The 21,601-nt window shown below is 45.4% G+C and overlaps 1 protein-coding gene across 3 annotated transcripts in view; it reads left to right on the top strand.

Moving 5' to 3' along the window:
* The window catches only part of NGEF (neuronal guanine nucleotide exchange factor), a 134,556-nt gene that overhangs the window by 63,424 nt on the left and 49,531 nt on the right, over positions 1-21,601 (top strand). Inside the window, exon 1 of one of the 3 annotated variants that reach the window (XM_047443880.1) lies at positions 15,079-15,154. The exons of the other annotated variants lie outside the window; for them this stretch is intronic. The gene's annotated coding sequence lies outside the window, so the exon portion shown is untranslated. Of the gene's footprint in view, positions 1-15,078; positions 15,155-21,601 lie in introns of those variants that run through there. 3 annotated transcript variants of the gene reach the window in all.

Below are 21,601 nucleotides of genomic sequence, written 5' to 3'. Positions count from 1 at the left end.
TCTAAAAAAAAAAAACCAAAAATTTATAACACTAAGTACTAGAGAGAGTGCAGAGAGCCAGGCGCAGTGGCTCAACCTGGAATCCCAGCACTTTGGGAGTCTGAGGCAGGCAGATCACCTGAGGTCAGGAGTTCAAGACCAGCCTGACCAACACGGAGAAACCCCATCTCTACTTAAAAAATACAAAATTAGCCGGGCATGGTGGTGCATGCCTGTAATCCCAGCTACTAGGGAGGCTGAGGCAGGAGAATCACTTGAACCCGGGAGGCGGACGTTGCAGTGAGCCGAGATCGCGCCACTGCACTCCAGCTTGGGCAACAAGAGCGAAACTCCATTTCAAAAAAAAAAAAGAAAGAGTGCAGAGAAACACACTAGCTGAGTATAAACCAGTATAATCTTTTGTAATTCCATAATATATGTGAAAAGCAGTAAAGATATTCCTAATCTTTGACCCAGAGTCTATCCTGAGAAGATACTCAGAAATCAGACAAAGATGTTTATTACTATCACTGAGCTATTTGCAGTTCATTGAGTCAGATGACAAATGTTTACAGAGTGCCCACTATGATCCAGGCTTTGTTTTAGGTACTGGGGATTTAGCAGTGAACAAAAGGGACCAAGAGCTCCGCCTTCATGGGGCTCACATTCAGGCAGGTCCTGGCTCCGCAGAGCTCCCAGGCTGGGCAGTGATCAGCAAAGTTCTCTTCCTTCCCTTGGCCTCTGCGACATCCCAACCTCAACATTTCATGCCGAACATCTGACTACATTTAAATTTGATTGGTTTTTTTTGTTTGTTTTTTTTGGGGGGTTTTTTTGAGACGCAGTCTTGCTCTGTTGCCCAGGCTGGAGTGCAATGGCGTGATCTTGGCTCACTGCAACCTCTGCCTCCTGGATTCAAGCGATTCTCCTGCCTCAGCCTCCTGAGCAGCTGGGATTACGGGTGCCCACCACCACGCCTGGCTAATTTTTGTATTTTTAGTAGAGACAGGGTTTCACCATGTTGGCCAGGCGAGTCTCAAACTCCTGACCTCAAGTGACCCGCCTGCCCCGGCCTCCCAAAGTGCTGGGATTACAGGCGTGAGCCACTGTGCCTGGCCAAACTTGATTGTTAATCCATTTCTTTCAATCAAAGTACTGCTTCTGTAAATACTTGTTTTCCCTTACCTCCAACTTTTTAAAAAGAAAAAATTTTAAACATGCAGAAAAATCAAAAGAATAGCACAATAAGCTCCCATATGGCCTCAATCTAGAGTCAAAAATCTATTAACTCCTCGCATGTTGGCATTCTCTCTCTTTTCTCTTTCTCCCTCCTTTATTTCCCCTAAACTGTGTGAAACTAAATTGCAGACATCATTATTCTTCACCCCTAAATACCCAGCATACAGCTTTTAAGAATAAAGACATCCTTCTATATAACCACAGTGCCATTATCACACTTAAGAAAATTAACAATCATTCTATATTTAATATCCAGACTTGTCAAGCATGGTGGCGGGCGCCTGTAATCTCAGCTACTCTGGGATTGTCTGAGGCAGGAGAATCACTTTAACCCAGAAGGCGGGGGTTGCAGTGAGCCAACATTTCGCGCTGCACTCCAGCCTGGATGACAGAGTGAGACTCTGTCTCAAAAAACTAATAATAATTATATACACACACACACACACACACACACACACACACACACATCTCCAGGCTATATTCAAATGACCCCATGGCCCCCAATTGTCCTCAAAATGTCTTTCACAGCTGGTATTTGTGAATCAAAATTTAATCATGCCACTTGGGCCGTATTAAAAAGATTGAATGAAACTCTAAATGCCCTGGCTGTAATTACACATTCTACATAGGTAACAAAATATCACATGTACCCTATAAGTATGTGTCAATACGTTTTTTTAAAAGATCTAGTCGAGTTTCAATCACTGCATTTGTTGGTTTGCTGTCTTTAGATTCCTGTAATCAAAAAAGGTCTCTTCATCTTTCTTTTTCTGTGACTGACTCTTTAAAAATACAGGCCTCTTATCTTGTAGAATGGCCCCATTGTGAATTTGTCTGCTTCTTAGTGTATTAACTTGTTCCTTTATTCCCTGTATTAGTCTGTTCTCACACTGCTATAAAGATACTACTCGAGACTGGGTAATTTATAAAGGAAAGAGATTTAGTTGACCCACAGTTCTACGTGGCTGAGGAGGCCTCAGGAAACTTACAATTATGGCAGAAGGCGAAGCAGACACATCTCACATGGCAGCAGGTGAGGGAGAGTGTGTGAGAGTTCAGGAAAAACTACCATTTATAAAATCACCAGATCTCGTGAAAATTCACTCATTATCATAAGAACAGCATGGGGGAAATCGCCCCCATAATCTGATCACGTCCCTCCCTCAACAGGTAGAGTTTGCAGGTCCCTCCCTCAACGTGTGGGGAATACAATTAGAGATGAGATTTGGGTGAGGACACAGAGCCAGATCACATCACTCCCTGTGTCTCCTTCAAACTGGGAGTTGGGTCTACGCACTTGATTGGATTCAGGTTAAACATTTTCAGCGAGACTGCATCCGGGTGATGTGTACTTCAAGCTGCAGCCCATCTAAAGGCATTCATGTCAGCTTGGCCCATTATTTTTGATGCTACATTTGATCATTTGGTTAATTTGGAAGTTGCCAGATTGCTCCAAAGTAAAGGTACAATTTTTCCTTTTGCTACTAATAAGTTATCTGTAGAGTGATGGTTTGAGATCACTTCAATATACTCTTTCCTATTAGCCTTTCAACCATGGCTTTTAACATCCATTATCAATCTTTCCTGAACCAACTATTACATTTTTGCAAAATGGGAATGTTCTAGCACTCCTCATACTTACATTAGTTGATTTTCTTCTGTGAAGAAGACCCTTCCTTTGTTTTTTGGTTTGTTTTCTTTTGTTTTCGAGTATGACTATGGACTCATGGTCATTGTATTTTTAATTCAATGTGTTTTAATCCATGATTGTCATATTCCTTCTGAGGCTCAAACTGTCACATAGGAGCCCCTCCCAGCTGGCTATACTGTCCCTTGATATCTTCCCAGCTGTCTTTGAATACTTCCTTCACTTCCTTGCTTTCAGACACAGCATGCTTTCCTATGCTTTCTGTATCTCAGACATGGAATCAGCCATTTTTCCAAGGAGCCCTAGCTCCATTTAGTGGAGAATGCTGTTTAGAAACCAAGATCTGGGCATTAGATGTGCTCGTTACTACTGGTAGGTCACTGCTTCTAGGACTATTCAGCAGTCAGAGCTAGGAAATTGTGCCCATGTATGTGTGCGTGTGAGTTCACATGAATACCCTAATTCCAATCCAATACAGTGATGGTTACTCCCTGATTCTATATCTCACTTTTCTTTTTTTGAAAATTTTTTATTTCCATAGGTTATTGGGAAACAGGTGGTGTTTTGTTATATGAGTAAGTTCTTTAGTGGTGATTTGTGAGATTTTGGTACATCTATCAGCCGAGCAGTATACACTGCACCCAATTTGTAATCTTTTATCCCTCACCCCCTTCCCAACCTTCCCCCCAAGTCCCCAAAGTCCACTGTGTCATTCTTACGTCTTTGTATCCTCATAGCTTAGCTCCCATTTATGAGTGAGAACATACAATATTTGGTTTTCCATTCCTGAGTTACTTCACTTAGAATACTGTCTCCAATCTTATCTAGGTAGCTGCGAATGCCATTAATTCATTCCTTTTTATGGCTGAGTACTATTCCATTGTGTGCATATATATATATATATCAGATATATATTGCATATATCTATATTGCATATAGATATATATAGAATATATATATATGGATATCACAGTTTATCCACTAGTTGATTGATGGGCATTTGAGTTTTTTCCAATTGCGAATTGTGCTGCTATAAACATGGGTGTGCAAGTATTTTTTTTCGTACATGTTGCTTTTCTAACAGTGAGAACCAGGTCCTCAACATCAGTATGTTGTGAGACATTGCTCTATTCTACAAATGCACACAGAACAATTTCAGAATGACTCCACCTGTGCCATAATCAACAGTAAATCTATTGTCTTGGTTGCTAGGGCCGCTGGAACAAAGCACCACAAACTGGGTGGCTTTTAAACAACAAAAATTTGCCCTCTTGCAGTTCTGGAGACCAGAAGTGCCAAAGCAAGACATCGTCAGGACCACACTCCCTCTCAGAGCTGTGGGGAGAAGCTGCTCCCCGCCTCTCTCTGGCTTCTGGTGGTGGCTGGCACCCTTGGCACTCCTTGGCTGGCAGATGCCTCACCCCAAGCTCTTCCAATGTCTTCACATAGCATTCTCCTTTCTCTGTGTCTGTGTCTGTGTCTGTGTCTGTGTCTGTGTATCCAAATTTCCCTCCTCTTATAAAGACACCAGCCATTGGTTTACAGCCCACTCCAATCCACTTCAACAAGGATCCTATTTCCAAGTCAAGTCACAAGCATGGGTACCAGGCGTTAGGACTTGAGTATATATTTTTAGGGAACACAACCCACAACACCAACTAAACAAAGTGTAAAATTTGCCTCTTTTTTTTTTAGTCCTAGAATAGACCTCAGTCAGGGTATAAAAATAAAGTACTATGTTGAAAAATTACTTGAACTAAATTTTTTTTCCTGTGGGTTATGTTATCAATGTTATAATCACTTAGGTTCATTTGTTTTGGTTTATTTTCAATTCTAGAATTTATTTCATACTTTTAGATTTCTTTTATTATTTGAGCATATAAAACATATGCATGGTTTATAAGTCAAAACTATAGGCCAGGCGTGGTGGCTCATGCCTGTAATCCCAGCACTTTAAGAGGCCAAGATGGACAGATCACCTGAGGTCAGGAGTTCTGGACCAGCCTGGCCAAAATGGTGAAACCCTGTCCCTACTAAAAATACAAAAATTAGGCCGGTGTGGTGGCAGGCGCCTGTAATCCCAGCTACTGGGGAGGCTGAAGCAGGAGAATCACTTGAACCGGAGAGGTGGTGGTTGCAGTGAGCCGAGATTATGCCACTGCACTCCAGCCTGGGCAACAGAGCAGGACTCCATCTCCAAAAAGATATATATATATATATATATATATATATATATATATTCGGAAAAGTCTTATCCCCTAGCCCAACTCTGGAAGTAACCATTTCTATTAATTTCTCTTTTTTTCTTTCCTTATTTCTTTTTGGAAAAAAAAAAGAAGTGTGTGTATAATTGTTTCGCTTCCCTTTCTATCATTAGTTCACAAAAGTAGCACACAGCACAGATAACTCCATCCCTGGCTTCTCTCACTGAATTTGGGAAATCACTTAATTTCAGTCCCAGGACACCTTCTTCATTCTTATGTCTACAACGCCATAGCACTCCTCTGGTGACTATACCATGGTTCATTCAACCAGTCTCCTTAGGATAGGTACTCAGGTTGATTCCAATATGTTACTTTCAAAAATAATGCCACAATGAATAACCTTGTGCATATCTTTTCTTATTTCAGAGTGTGTGTCTGCAGGGCAATTATTAGATGTGGCGTCACTGGGTGGAAGGGTAAATGCACTTGTAGTTCTTTTTCTCTTCTTTTCTTTTTTTTAATTTTTTCCCAGACGGAGTTTTGCTCTGCCACCCAGGCTGGAGTGCAGTGGTGCGATCTCAGTTCACTGCAACCTCTGCCTCCTGGGTTCAAGCAATTCTCCTGCCTCAGCCTCCCAAGTAGCTGGGATTACAGGTGTGTGACCACCATGCCTGGCTAATTTTTGTACTTTTAGTAGAGACGGGGTTTCACCATGTTGGCCAGGCTGGTCTGGAACTCCTGACCTCAGGTGATCCGCCGGCCTCGGCCTCCCAAAGTGCTGGGATTACAGGTGTGAGCCACCGCGCCCGGCCTGCACTTGTAGTTCTATTACTTAGTGTCAAATTCCCTTCTCTATGAGGTTGGATAGTTTTGTTCTCCAATCAGGAATGTATTTCAGTGTCTGTTTCCTCTGAGTTTTAGTTTGGTAATCACAAGAGATTTCAACCTTGAAAATGTAGAGCATTCCGGGCCGGGCACAGTGGCTCACGCCTGTAATCCCAGCACTTTGGGAGGCTGAGGCGGGCGGATCACGAGGTCAGGAGATTGAGACCAACCTGGCTAACACAGTGAAACCCCGTCTCTACTAAAAATACAAAAAATTAGTCGGGTCTAGTGGCGGGCGCCTGTAGTCCCAGCTACTCGGGAGGCTGAGGCAGGAGAATGGCGTGAACCCGGGAGGCGGAGCTTGCAGTGAGCCGAGATCGCGCCACTGCACTCCAGCCTGGGCGACAGAGTGAGACTCCGTCTCAAAAAAAAAAAAAATGTAGAGCATTCCACCTTTAAGGCAACTATACAGTCGGTGGAGACAGCACAGGCAGTACGGAAACTGAGGCCCTGGGTTTAAGGAAGGGACAGGATATATTCTCAGGAGTTTTCAACGAGAAGAAATTTTCTCTTGTTCTCTTCTGTCATTACTCTGACTCACGCCTGTGGAGACGGCTCTCTTTTTCTCCTGGTAAGAATCTATCACTTCTTAACAGAAAACTCAGCTGGTGACAGGTTAGAGACTCTTTTTTTTTTTAAGAACAAATGCTAATTTCAAATAGAAACTTGTATTTCTGGCAAGACTTTCCTCTGAGACCCCCACAAAAAAAGGAAGGAAGGAGAGACCTATTAAGGGCCATCTATCTTTTTAGCCAAAGCTAAACAGAGAAGCAGGCCTAGACAGCCCACTGACTCCGTGACAAATAAAAGCTACTCCAAGGGCTGAGCAACATTTTAGAAACAGCAGTAATTTAACATGCAATCTTCACTGCATGGAAAAAATGAGACATGGCTTTAAAATTAGAAAAAGCAGCTGCAACTGGTCAGTTCGGGGGAGGGATGAACAGTAAGTGAAAAAAAAAAAAAAAAAAAAGAAATTTCACTTCTCTGCTGGTAAACTGACTCCCCCCCGGAAAATAATGGTACTACTTGAGCTCAAGGTACACTCATCATTTTCTTCTTTTCTTTTCTTTTTTTTTTTTTTTGAGACGGAGTCTCCTGCCTCAGCCTCCCAAGTAGCTGGGATGACAGGCGTGCGCCTCCACGCGCTAATTTTTGTATTTTCAGTAGAGACGGGGTTTCACCATGTTGGCCAGGCTGGTCTCGAACTCCTGGCCTCGTGATCCACCCACCTCGGCCTCCCAAAGTGTTGGGATTACAGGCGTGAGTTGGACAGCTCTCAGAGCATTCCCATTTACAGGCGTGAGCCACCGTGCCCAGTGGTACACTCATCTTTTAAGGGAGTAGGAAAGAGAGATTTACGTTAATAAGTGAAAGGAAAAGGGTCTGGAAGATGTCCCTGTCTCTGTAAATCAGTCGATTTACCGAGAGGAACCCGACAATCCCTAAAGAATGTCCACGTGCTTTCAAGCTTCCCCCGGATCTGCTGATTCAGCAAGTACGTAGAAAGCCTCAAAGGTGTACTAGGTGCTCTGCCCCTCACAGCGACAAGTGGGGCAGGCTCACTCAGGCCAGGTCCTGTCTCCTTGCCCAGTCCAACAGGACAGAGAGTTAACTTCCCAATAAAGTGATCAGGGTTTCTGATAGCCCAGGTGAAGTGCTCCAGGAGACTTAAGAGTGAACAAACACAGCCAGCCACTGGATGGGATGGGGGACTTCCTGGAGGAGGTGGCATTGAGCCAGTAAAGGTGGGATGCAGCCATGCAGGAGGGCAGGGAAGGGCTTGTGGTGTTAGGAAAACCTGCCTTTGAGTGGAGGTGGTGGTTTCTTTGGTGACTCACCTGATGGGACTATGGCTTCCATTTAAAAGGAAGAAGCATTCTGGTTAGGACTTGTATATGTGGATTTATGGAAGGAAAAGGGGAATTTCTGGAAAAGGGACTATTTTTATAACCAGGAAGATTAGAATATCAGGTAAGTGCTTTAATTTTCACAATGCCAAGAAGTAATTTACTGTAAAAGTTGAATTCGTGATTCTTTGCAAACTGAAGAGCTTTTGCAGAGGTAGATTTATGTAGTGAATTGAGGTGTTTTTCCCCCAAATAAATCTGGAGACTACAAAGCAGTCCATCATTTTCAAGTGGACCAGGCTCCCTATGGCTACGTGAACGCTTTAAACCCATGCTCTACATTTATGCGCATTAAGGGATTGATGTTGTTTCTTAAAGTAACTTTCTCCCCCTTATTACATAAGTGACACATTTATGGTAGAAAAAATTTTAAACACGTACGAGTAAAAGTGAAACCGCCTTTGCAAAATTATGACTGAGACAGTGAAAGATCTAACTTAACTGAATCCATCTTCCTTCTAACCTCCAAGCTGTCCTTGTTCATTCCTGGGCGTAGGCTGAACTAACTTTGGGAGAAACTTAGTTTATAGTTTATAGCTTAAACAAAGACGGTAACAGCCCTTTCCCAAAGCAGACCTCCTTCTTGCCTGGGGACTAGACTGCCTTTGCAGCACTAACATTAGCCACAGATTAGAAATTATGGCTTAGAGTTGTGCAGCTGGAAGTTACAAGATTCTGACCCTCCCTAAACTGCTCCTAAGATCAGTGCTTGAGATATTTTGCAGACCCAGCACTTGATGGATCAGCTGGCACCACCCAGATCAATAAACTGGCTCATCTGATCTTGTGGCCCCCACCCAGGACATGACTGAGCTCAAGAAGACAGCTCCGACTTCCTATGATTTCATCTCCGACCAATCAGCACCCTTGGCTCATTGGCTTTTCCCCACCCACCAAATTATCCTTAAAAACTCTGCTCCCTGAATGCTCCAGGAGACTGATTTGAGTAGTAATAAAACTCTGGTCTCCCGCACAGCCAGCCCAGCTCTGCGTGAATTACTCTTTCTCTATTGCAATTCCCCTGTCTTGAGGAATTGGCTCTGTCTAGGCAGCCAGCAAGGTGAACCCCTTGGCCAGTTACGAAAGGAGGAAAATTTCATTAGAATCCAACCAACCAGCAACAAGTACTATGAAATATTTTTGGTGATCAATCTTCTAGTCCTTTAAAAAGTATATACACACGCTTAAAATTCCACATATAAAAGTCTATTTATAAACAAAGTAAGAGCATACTACCATCCAGTTTTGCAATCTGCTTTTTTATTTAAAATACTATGGATGTCTTTCCAGATTATTAAATGTTCTTCTAAAATAATGTTTAATGCTGTAGTATTCCATTTGAGAAATATGTGATCATTTAAATAGTCAATCTATTATTGGACATTAAATATTTCCCTGTTATAAATAACACTAAAAAAATCCTCGCTGCTCATTTTTTTGCACAGACTCTCAATAGTTCACTAGGAAACATTCCTAGAAGTAGAATCTCTTTGCCAAAGAGTGTGGAGCATTTGCAGATTTACGATATGTGTTGTCAGACTGCCCTCTGAAAGGTTGTATCCATTCACACTCCCGCCCCCAGGGGAAAATGACAGCTTCCACCCCTTGGTGAATTCCACGCCTTGGCGACCACTGGCTGTTCATTTCCAAAACTCTTTGATTGCTGTGTTTCTGATATGCTTTTGAAATAGTGTTTTTCTTTATGGTGATATTCACTTATTGTGTGCTAATTTGTACGGTGCTATCACCAGTTTCCTTATGAGACACTCTGAAATAGAAATATTAATCATAGTGAAAAACTATGAATTCTTGGGAAGAAACGAATTCCGTCAACATTACAAAGTCAAGGACCCAGAAACAAGGATTTTAGTGGCACGTCACACCTGTGTCTCAAACATCTCTCCTAGACGGACCCATCCCTACCCAAAACACTGGTCTTCTCGTGAGACCTCAAATTTTTTTTTTTTTTTTAAGATGGAGTCCCACTCTGTCGCTCGGGCTGGAGTGCAGTGACATGATCTCGGCTCACTGCAACCTCCGCCTCCCAGGTTCAAGCGATTCTCCTGCCTCAGCCTCCCGAGTAACTGGGAGTACAGGCGTGCAGCACCACGCCCAGCTAATTTTGTATTTTTAATAGAAATGGGGTTTCACCGTGTTGCCCAGGCTGGTCTTGAACTCCTGACCTCAGGTGATCCACCTGCCTCATTCTCCCAAAGTGCTGGGATTACAGGCATGAGCCACCGTGCCCGGCCGAGACACCAAATTCTTGAATAATTAGTACTGGTAACTCAACAAAGAACATTCTACAGGATGTTAAGGGTGAGGTAGTTGTTTCTGTTTCAATAGGTAATGTAAAGTTTTCATATTACATACTAGCTTTTCATTATGGAAGATACTTTTCTAAAATCCAGTTATTTGTAATTTTCAAGGAACAATTTCTTATTATTAAATACATGCTACTTCTTCAAGTCTACTTTGTTTATGAGTGAATATTTTTCTTTCTTGTTTCATAAAGTTTTGCTCCATTTGGTTAATGGTTAAGGCAATGCATTCTCTGTTACCATAGTGAATGCATTTTAGCACTAAATGTAGACTACTTAAATAATAATAATATCACTTTCTATTTGTTTCATTTATTATAGCTTACAAATTGGTCTCACTAATATGGAACTACATTAGATTTAACTATGTAGTTTATGAGGTGATTTAAGATGAATAACTCTGAGTGCCAGGAAATGGGACTGTTCATTCCTTTACAGGTTGAGTCCTTTTTTTTTTTTTTTTTTTTTTTTGAGACTGAGTCTTGCTGTTGCCCAGGTGGGAGTCCAGTGGCGCAATCTCGGCTCACTGCAACCTCTTCATCCCAGTTTCAAGGGATTCTCCTGCCTCAGCCTCCCAAGTAGCTGGGATTACAGGTGCCCACCACCATACCCAGCTAATTTTTGTATTTTTAGTAGAGATGGAGTTTCACCATGTTGGCCAGGCTGGTCTCGAACTCCTGAACTCTGATCCACCTGCCTCGGCCTCCCAAAGTGCTGGGATTACAGGCATGAGCCACCACACCCGGCCTAGTTTGAGTTCTAATTAAGAATATAAGAACCCTGTGGCCATAACCTGACATCTAAATTATGTGCACCTAGGCAACTCCTGATCTCATTCACTTCAAATTTCACCCTCAGCATATCCAGGAAATTACTGTATTTATTTCCTTTTTTTTTTTTTTTTTCTTAAGACAGGGTCTCACTATGTTGCCCAGGTTGCTCTCGAACTCCTGGGCTCAAGGATCTTTCCAAGTGATCCTACATCTTAGCCTCCCAAGGTGCTGGGATTACAGGCATGAGCCACCACACCCGGCCTATAGTATTTACCCCTTAGGTGCCCCTTGCTTCAGGATGCTTCTATTGATCAAAAGCCCAGGCTCCTCTTGGTCAAAAGCCCACAGCCAAACCCCCAGACCCTATGTATCCTAAGATCCTTGGTTAGGAATAGTCCAGAGAAACCCATATCTCAGGATGTCCCTCATTTTCCATAGTTTCAGATAAACACACAAGCATCGCAGCATCTTATCCACGAGTTATCTGGGGCAGCCTGTTTTAGGCAATTCGTTTCCATGAAGGCTATGCGATAGTCTGCATCTCATAATTGGTGATATGGCTGCAATTTGTCCAAGCCTTTTAAGGACACATGAACCATCAAAATGCTTTGGAAATTCCAATGTTTCACTAGCCAAGCAATATCCTCCAGGCTGCCTCTTATGCCTGGAAAAAGAGCAAAATTCTTGGCCATCTATTTTTGATTCAGAAAATGAATTCAGCGTAGCAATCTCCAGTCTTCAGCAATTAAGCCCTGAGATGATGGATCTGCTTCCCATGACCATTGAAACTCATGCAGTGCTACCATCTCTTCTTAAAGCAGACAAGGGTTTGTAGGTGTCTCCTGATCCCTCTGGCCTTTTCCCTAGTTAACCAAAAGCATGACTGTCCACCAGAGCAACACATCCCAAAAGAACAAAAACAAAACACTCTTCACTTCACTAAAACACCGAATCCAGTTTTGATGGTTTTTGGACTCACACAGACAGATCATAACTAGTTACCTCCCCCAAGCTTTAGGCACCAATCGCAGAAGCCATTACCTGCAAGTTCCCAAAGAGATCAGTTGAAGAAACATCATTGACCCAAGACACACAAGATGGGATACCAAGCAAAAGCTGATGCTCCACTTAATTACTGCAGGAGAAGAAAGACTCACACCAAGGGCATGGCACCACAGAGCCCACTGGCTTCCCTATATTAACTCACGAGCCAGCCCCTTCCCAATGCCTCCTAGAAGTGCTGGTGCTGAGGATGCAGAGATCAATGGCCTCTTCATAGTTGCCCCCAAAAAGCTCAGGTTCACTGGGAGGAGAAACCGTGCAGGCAGTGCTAACAGAAGACAGAGCAAGGCCTGGGAGCTGTCAGGAGTGACTCAGCTTTCATCTGGGCGGCCCCAGCCTGGATCGTCCATTAACTCCATTGAGCAATGAATTACCCACAAGGTACTGAAGAGTCACTGAAGATAACAGATATGTGGGGTCAGACATGTGTGAGGAAAATTAACAGAGCAGCTGCATTTAGGACAGATGGAGGGAGGGACAAAGAGACCAGAGGAAAGGAAGGCTGTTAGAGGAAAGTGGTCACTGTGTTCTAAATCAGATTACAGGCTGGGTGCAGTGGCTCACACCTGTAATCCCAGCACTTTGAGAGACCGAGGCAGGTGGATCACTTGAGGTCAGGAGTTCAAGACCAGCCTGGCCAACATGGTGAAACCCCATCTCTACTAAAAATACAAAAGAGCCAGGCATGGTGGTGCGCACCTGTAATCCCAGCTACTCTGGAGGCTGAGGTAGGAGAATCACTTGAACCTGGGATGCAGACGTTGCAGTGAGCCGAGACTGAGCCATTGCACTCCAGCCTGGGCTATGAGAGTGAAACTCCATCTCAAAAATAAATAAATAAATAAAATAAAATAAATCAGATTAGAGACCTGCAAAGTTAAAGGACAGTCTACAAGACCACTCTCACTTTTGACATGAACGGCAGAGTTTGGGGGTGCCCAAATTCACCCTCAGTTTCAATAAATTGCTAGAAGAACTCACAGAACTTACTGAAAGCTGTTATACTCACCATTACAGTTTATTACGGTGAAAGGATACAGAGTTAAATCAGCCAAGGGAAGAGATGCATGGGGAAAGTCCAGAAAAGTTCTACTCACGAAGCTTCCAGTGGTCTTCTCCCTTGGGAGTCACAGATAGCGCTAACCTTCCCCTCAGTAATGTGTGATAACATGCGTGGCGCACCATCAACCAGAGATGCCCACCTGTGCCTTGGTGTCCAGAGTTCTTATTGAGGCTTGGTCACAAAGATGTGGTTGGCTGCCCAGGTAGCTGACCTCAGTCTCCAGCCCTTCTGGAGGCAAAACTGATACTACATGACCCAGAGACCCCACCCTATCCAGAGTGGGCCAAGGCTCCTGGGTAAGGAAAGAGCCTCTTTTCAGACACCACATTCCAACAGCTTAGAGAGCACCTCCTAAGAGCCTAGGCAAAAGCCAGACCTGTCTTTGGGTAAAGTTAATTCTTTACCACACAGGGATAGACTGATTTTGTTTTTTAACTTATTTCCATAACGTGATACAATTCCACATTTACAAATTATCTTCTTGATGAAAAGTAAGGAAAAATCTCCACCTCCACCTCACCGGTAAAATACTTCCAGCCACACAACAAAACAATTTATTTTTGGAAAGTCTCCTTGTGGCAAAATCTCTTCATCCACAGAGTATGGGTTTCTGGGTATCTCACTGCTGCAGCGACAGAGGTGGTCCCTTCCTGAGCATCTATCCTACCCTTTTCCTCACTTTCCCCCTAGATTTGGAGGTCCATTTAACTCTTGAGGCTGTAGCCTTCTGTGGTTCGACTGCTGGTTCTGCCTCTGTGAATTAAATTTGTTGATTTTCAAAGCAAGTAGAAAATGTGTTCTGAGTGACAAAAATAACCTACTGTGTTTATGGATTTAAAAGATACAGTTAATTAAAAGCTACCACATTTCCTATATATATTTGAGAAATGTCTTCTCACTACCAAAAAGAAAAAAAGAAAATTCAATGCATTTTCCTACTAAATATAACAATACAAATGTTTTTAAACATTTGATAGTCTGGTGACATACCATGTGACCCTGAAAATAGAATAAGTGAATAGCAATGTGCTGTTCCTTATTTTCTACAATATAGTGTTGAATCACTATCATATATTTCCAGAGCTGCCATTAGCTAGCTATGTGGTCTTCAGTTTCTTTTTTTTTGTTTTTGAAATGGAGTCTCACTCTGTCAACCAGGCTGGAGTGTGGTGGTGTGATCTCCGCTCACTGTAACCTCCACCTCCTGGGCTCAAGCAATTCTCCTGCCTCAGCCTCCCTGGTAGCTGGAATTACAGGCATGTGCCACCACACCCGGCTAATTATTGTATTTTTAGTAGAGACAGGGTTTTACCATGTTGGCCAGGCTGATCTTGAACTCCTGACCTCAAGTGATCTGCCTGCCTCAGCCTCCCAAAATGCTGGGATAACAGGCGTGAGCCACCAAGCCTGGCAGGTCTTGAGTTTCTAATTTAACCCTTTGGTCTTGTTCCTTTGGTAAAATAAAAGCATTGAACCAGATAATCTCAGCTTCCATCCACTTCCTTCCAATTCCAGAGATTCTCCCTCAGGATCAAGAAAAATTTTATAAACATAAACAAGAACTCCTGAAGGCTGAATTTAGTATGTAAATAAGAATGCACTTTGCTTCCAATGTTTAGCTTTTATAACCCAAAGGAAAAAATAATCTTTAGATAAAATACCTAAAATAACTAAATACTTATTTTAAAAAATATAACTTTAATTCATTCACCAATTATTCTTATTATTATTTTTTTTTTTTGAGACAGAGTCTCACTCTGTTGCCCAGGCTGGAGTGCAGTAGTGCGATCTTGGCATACTTCAACCTTCACCTCCTGGGCTCAAGTGATCCTCTCTCCTTAGCCTCCTGAGTAGCTGGAACTGCAGGTGCATGCTACCATGCCTGGCTAATTTTGTCATTTTTTCTTTTTTAGAGATGAGGTTTCACCATGTTGCCCAGGCTGGTCTTGAACTCCTGGGCTCAAGCAAACCACCTACCTTGGCCTCCCCAAGTGCTGGGATTACAGATGTGAGCGACTGCACCTGGCCCATTCTCAGAGATTTATAGAGCACCTACTACGTGCTAGTCAGGTATAAATATTTGAAATATTTATCAATACTTTATTTTGTGAATGATTCAGAACAAAATGTCAGTTAAAAGGAGATTTTAATAGCAGCCTGCCTAATAAGCACTAAACGCAATGGAAAATGGAACATGTGGAATTTAGCTGAAGGTTACATGCCTTAGAACTCAGTGACTTTCTAAACTGATTTTATAATTACAAAGATATTTTTAGCTTATTTTTTACTGGAAGACTTTATGCTGATCTTAACATACGTAATTTCACTTTAATATTTTCTTTAAAAAAAAAAAGAATCTTCCTCTTTGGTGCAGCAGAGCATAAAAGGAATAGCTTCCATTTAGTGTTACATCAAATTCAGGGACAGTGAAGCCACGCAAACCAGGCAGTCCTATGTTTGCCCATAGAGTGTTTTTCTTTCTCTTTCTTTTTTTTTTTTTTTTTTTTGAGATGCAGTCTCGCTCTGTCACCCAGGCTGGAGTACAGTGGCGCAATCTCGGCTCACTGCAACCCCTGCCTCCTGGGTTCAAGTGATTCTCCTGCCTCAACCCCCCAAGTAGCTGTGACTACAGGTGCGTGCCATCACGCCCAGCTAATTTTCGTATTTTTACTAGAGACAGGGTTTCACCATATTGGCCAGGATGGTCTCAATCTCCTGACCTTGTGATCCGCCTGCCTCGGCCTCCCAAAGTGCTGGGATTACAGGTGTGAGCCACTGTGCCCCGCCTCATAAAGGGTTTTTGTCTGGCTCCTGATGAAAGATGAGTGAGGCAGCAGGGTGCCCATCCTAAGGAGCCCATGGCTTCCTGGAAGGATGCCTTCGTGACAGAACATCACAGTGCCAGGCAGCAACTGCAGGCTAGACAGCAGAAGGGGCCTGGTGGGGACACCCAATGTGCCTAGACCTGGAAGGGCAAGGGCGTCATTAGGAGAGCACAGTCCTAGGGGAGGGAACAGCACTTGAAAAAGCCCAGAACCTGGAGAACTGTGCAGAGGCCAAAGCCTCAGAGAGCTGGGGAGGCCAGTGCCCACCACCAAGCTCACAAATGCATGGGACAGCTGGTGAGGGACCTGTCACAGCACAAGGGGCTGGGCTTCACCCTCAGAGGGATGGGATTCCAACCAAGATGTTTGAGCAAGGAGGGGACAAAATCAGACCCTTATTGCCAGAGAGGGGCAGAGAGAAGGGTGGCTTGGGGAGAGGAGGGACTTGAAGTAGTCCAGTTACCAGGGAAGGGGACTGCTTGTGGGATCCAGGGAGCTTGGTGAGCCATTGGCACACTGGGTGACAGGAAGTACAGACACGGAGGCCAGCGCCCAAGTTCTACTTGGCTCCTGGTTTGCTGCTGGAGAGGGGAGCTGGGGGAGACGGTGGGTGCACTGTCAGTTATGCTGAATTTTAGTTGTTTAGGGGCTGCTGTGGACTGAATGTTTAATCTCTCCTGCAAAATTCCATCACAAAGTGATGATATTGGAAGGTAGGGCCTTTGAGAAGTTGGGTCTAGAGGGCAGCATCCTCATGAATGGGTTTAGTGCCATTTATTTATTTATTTATTTATTTATTTATTTATTTATTTTTGAGATGGAGTTTCACTCTTGTTCCCCAGGCTGGAGTGCAATGGCACGACCTCAGCTTACTGCAACCTCCGTCTCCTGGGTTCAAGCGATTCTCCTGCCTCAGCCTCCCAAGTAGCTGGGATTACAGGCACCTACCACCATGCTGAGCTAATTTTTTTTTTGTATTTTTAGTAGAGACAGGGTTTCATCATGTTGGCCAGGCTGGTCTCGAACTCCTGACCTCAGGTGATCCACCCGACTCAGCCTTTCAAAGTGCTGGGATTAAAGGTGTGAGCCACCGCACTCGGCCCTTAGTGTCCTTTAAAAGAGATCTCAGAGAGCTCCCAAGCCCTCTTTCTAACGCATGAGGATACAAGGAGTCAGCCGTCCGCAGCCAGGAAGTAAGCCCTTCACAGAACCAGCCCAGGCTGGCACCATGATCTCAGACTTCCAGCCTCCAGACTGGGAGAAATAAATTTCTGTTGTTTATAGGCCCCCAGACTACAGCACTTTGCCTGAACTAAGACAGAAATTGATACTAAGAAGTGAAGGTACTGCTAAAAATGTGGTAGTGGCTTTGGTAATGGGTAGAGGCTAGAAGAGTTTTGAGGCACATGCTAGAAAAAAAGCCTAGATCGCCATGGATGGAATTTGAAAGGGGATTCTGGGCCAGGCCTGGTGACTCGTGCCTGTAATCCCAGCACTTTGGGAGGCCGAGTCGGGTGGATCACGAGGTCAGGAGTTCGAGACCAGCCCGGCCAACATGGTGAAACCCCATCTCTACTAAAAATACAAAAAGTTTAGCCAGGCATGATGGTGCGCACCTTTAATCCCAGCTACTTGGGAGGCTGAGACAGGAGAATCACTTGAACCCAGGAGGTGGAGCTTGCAGTGAACCAAAATCGTGCCACTGCACTCCAGCCTGGGCAATAGAGCAAGATTCTGTCTCAAAAAAAAAAAAAAAAAAAGAAAGGTGATTCTGGAGAGAACTCATAAAGAATAGAGGGGAGCTGTAGAGAACACTTGTATCTTCTTAGCCAATACTAAGTCATCATGAACAGAATGCTGGTAGAAGTATGGATTTTACCATACCAGTTACCATTCTAATGAGGCCTTGGAAAGCAATGAGGAGCATGTCACTGGACACTGGAGAAAGGGCCGTCCTTGTCATAAAGTGGCAAATAACTGGGCTGAATTGTGCTTTGTGGAAGGTAGAAATTGGATATTTAGCTGAGTGGATTTCTGGGCAAAGTGTTGAAGGAGTGGCAGCCAGACGATTTCTGAATAGCCTCTTGAGTCATTCTCCCCTTGTCTGGAAGAATCACATGTGTTTTCAGCCAAATGGTTCTATGTCCAGTCCTGCAGGATCTAAGAAGTCCAACAATCTTCCTTCCTTCATTTTGTCCCACTTTCTCCGTTTCCTCAGGCCCAGCTGGCACTGTTTCTGCTGGTAGAATCTCACCTCTATTCTTGGCTTTTGTTGGGACGGTTAAGTCTGTATTTCACACTCACACTCATCTCCTTATCAAATGGTCTGTCCATCACACCCTTGGTGTTCTCTTCTGAATGTTTTCTCATAGCTTGTAATACGGAAAGGCTGAGGATTCTTTCAAATCCTTGAATTCTGCTTACTTTTTGCTTAACAGCTCCATCTTCAAATTACTCTTCTCTTCTCAAATTTTACTATGTTTGTCAGGAAGAACCAAGCCACTCCTTAGACACTTTGCCCAGAAATCCACTCAACTAAATATCCAATTTCTACCTTCCACAAAACACAACAGCTTCACACCTCTGACAGAGAAGCGTGGTATGAGCCACCAAATAACGGAGAGGCACAGAGTAGACAGTGCCCCACCCAGCTGTGGGGGTGACAGTGCCACACCAGTGGGCACTGCAGGCAGAGCATCAAGGCAGAGAGCATTATTCTCCAGCTTTGGAGAATCTTCCTCATGGAATTTGCCTTGCTAGGCTTTAAACTTACTTGGGACCTGTCACCTCTTTCCTGTTCTCTTCCTTCCTTCCTCTCTCTCTTTTTCTATTTTTCCCTTTTGGAATGGGATTTTTTATCCTCTGCCTGTCTCACCATTGTATTTTGGAAACATAGAATTTTTCTAGTTTCACACATTCACAGCTGGAAAGGAATTTTTGCTTCTGGATAAATCACACCTTGGGTGTCACCCACACCTGATTGAGATGATATTTAGATGAGACTTCGGACTTCAGACTTTAGAGTTGATGCTGGAACAAGTTAAAACTTTTGGGTTGTTAAGATGGAATGAATGTATTTTACATGCAAGAAGCACACGACTTTTGGGGGACCAGGGTGGAATATTATGGACTGAATGTCTGTGTCTCCCGCAACATTCACGTGTTGAAATCCTAACTCCCAGGGTGATGGGTATTAGGTGGTGGGGCCTTTGAGAGGTGGCAAGGCCATGAGGGTGGATCCCTCATGAATGGGATTAGTACCCTATAAAAGAGACCCCAGAGAGGCCAGGCGTGGTGGCTCACACCTATAATCCCAGCACTTTGGGAGGCCAAGGCAGGTGGATCACAAGGTCTGGAGATTAAGACCAGCCTGGCGAAATGGTGAAACCCTGTCTCTATGATATGGTGAAACCCCATCTCTACTAAAAATACAAAAATTAGCCAGGCGTGGTGGCGGGTGCCTGTAGTCCCAGCTGCTTGGGAGCCTGAGGCAGGAGAATCGCTTGAACCCGGGAGGCAGAAGTTGCAGTAAGCCGAGATCGCGCCATTGCACTCCAGCCTGGGCAACAGAGCGAGAGTCCATTTCAAAAAAAAAAAGAGAGAGAGAGAGAGCCCAGAGTACTCTCTCTCTCTCTTTGCATCATATGGGGCTACCATAAGAAGTCAGCAGTCGGTGACACAGAGGAGGGCCTTACCAGCAACAGACCATGGTGTCACTCTGAGCTCAGCCTTCCAGCCTCTGGAACTATGAGAAATGTGTCTGCTGTTTACACTGGGTTCTGATGACACCCTGTATTACTCCGCTCTCACGCGGCTGATAAAGACATACCTGAGACTGGGTAATTTATAAAGAAAAAGAGATTTAATGGACTCACAATTCCACATGGCCTCACAATCATGGCAGAAGGCGAAAGGCACGTCTTAGATGGCAGCAGGCAAGAGAGAGAATGAGATCCAAGCAAAAGGGGTTTCCCCTTTATAAAACCATCAGATCTTGTGAGACTTATTCACTACCAGGAGAACAATATGGGGGAAACCACCCCCATGATTCAATTGCCTCCCACTGGGTCCCTCCCACAACACGTGAGAATTATAGGAGCTACAATTCAAGATGAGATTTGGGTGGGGACACAGCCGAACCACATCACACCCAGTCTATGGTATTTTGTTATAGCAGCCAGGACAGCCTAAGATGTGGGATGGCCAGATGGAGATGGCCAGTGAGCAGAGCAACACACTAAGGGCAGGAGGTGGCTGCCTGGAGATACCTGGGTCCATGGGAGTGAGTCAAGGAAGGGCGGTGCTTGGCTTGGGAAAAGACCAGATGGTTGTCTCGAATATTCTCAGGCCTTAAGGGCATGAAGAGACCAGACCTGCCCGTTCTGGCCCCAAAGGGCATGAAGAGATCAGACCTGCCCGTTCTGGCACCAGGGCTAAGTGGCAGCTTTAGAGACTGGCTTTGAGTCTACCTGAACACCCTTTTCTAGAGTCAAAGCTGGGGAAGTCAGACCACGTGGGGAGGAGAGCTCCCTTCCAGGCAAAAAGCTTAATGCTTCTCAGCTTCCTCCCCAACCCTCCCTTGATCACACCTGCCTTATTCAAGACTGGTTAAGGATCCATTAAAGCCAAACAATTAACGAGTAACTGCACCGCTGCCACCAGGAATGTTTGCATCCCCCCCAACGAAGAATTTGCTAATTTAAACAAATGCCGGGTGGGTTGGAGCGTGCGGGGGACTATGCTCCGCACTCCACCCCTGCCCCTGGGGTTTCCTCAGGGCCGTAAAAAGGACAGGCCCGGCTGCAGGCGCAGGCCGCGGTCACCCAAGGGCCCACCCAGGTGAGCCGGCTGGCCTCCGGAAAAGGACACCGGGCAGCGCGCCAGGGGCCTTCGCGAGGGTAGGCGGGGGGCATCTTGCTAGATATCCTCGCCACACCTGAGCAGACAGCATGATCCCTGAGCAGAGGGCGGCTTGGCTCGGCCCGTAGGCACCTCCAGGCCTCGCTCTTCCGACTGTCCTTTCTGCTCTTTCTGATCCGCGAGCGGACTGACCCAGCTAACGCGAAGGCGCAGAGTCCAGGAGTCGATGTCACCGGGCAGGGCAACCCAGGAGAGGTTTCGGGCACTTGGTTTCTCCTCCTCTGGTGCCCCCGAACCCATCCCAGACCCGCCAGGGTCGTGCGTAGCTGAGCGTGGCTCGTCCTGCGACCAGACTCGCCCGGGAAAGACCTCCGCGCCGGCCCCCTCCCCACCGCGAGGCTCAGGAGCGGGCTTGCAAGGAGCCCCTGAGACCCCAGTCTCCGCCTGGAGCAGAGACAAGACGGAGACCCCCTCCAGCGGGGACACATTCCCCGAGGCCGGGCTCGGAGCTTCAGAGCGGGTCGCCGAGCTGCGACCCTGCGGGAGACCGCAGGGGGTGCCCAGCGTGGGCAAGGCGGAGGTCTGCGGGCACTGGGGAGCCGAGGGTGGCCTCGCCCGCCCCTTCCAGGCTTCCCCCGCCGTGAGGAGTGGGCGGGGCAGGCAAAGGCGCAGCTCCAGGGCCTCCGCAGCTCTGCCCCTCTCCGGGTCGGGGCACGGCGGCGCGGGGGAGGAAGGCGCGAGCCCGCGGCAGGCCCCAGCCCGCAGTCGGCGCTCGCGGGGCCCGGGTCGCGCCCAGCCCGGGCGCCCCCGCCCCGCCGCCGCCCGGCCTCGC

The sequence above is a fragment of the Homo sapiens genome, chromosome 2, assembly GCF_000001405.40.
Source record: "Homo sapiens chromosome 2, GRCh38.p14 Primary Assembly".
Taxonomy (NCBI): domain Eukaryota; kingdom Metazoa; phylum Chordata; class Mammalia; order Primates; family Hominidae; genus Homo; species Homo sapiens.
This window is presented reverse-complemented; position numbering and strand designations above follow the sequence as displayed.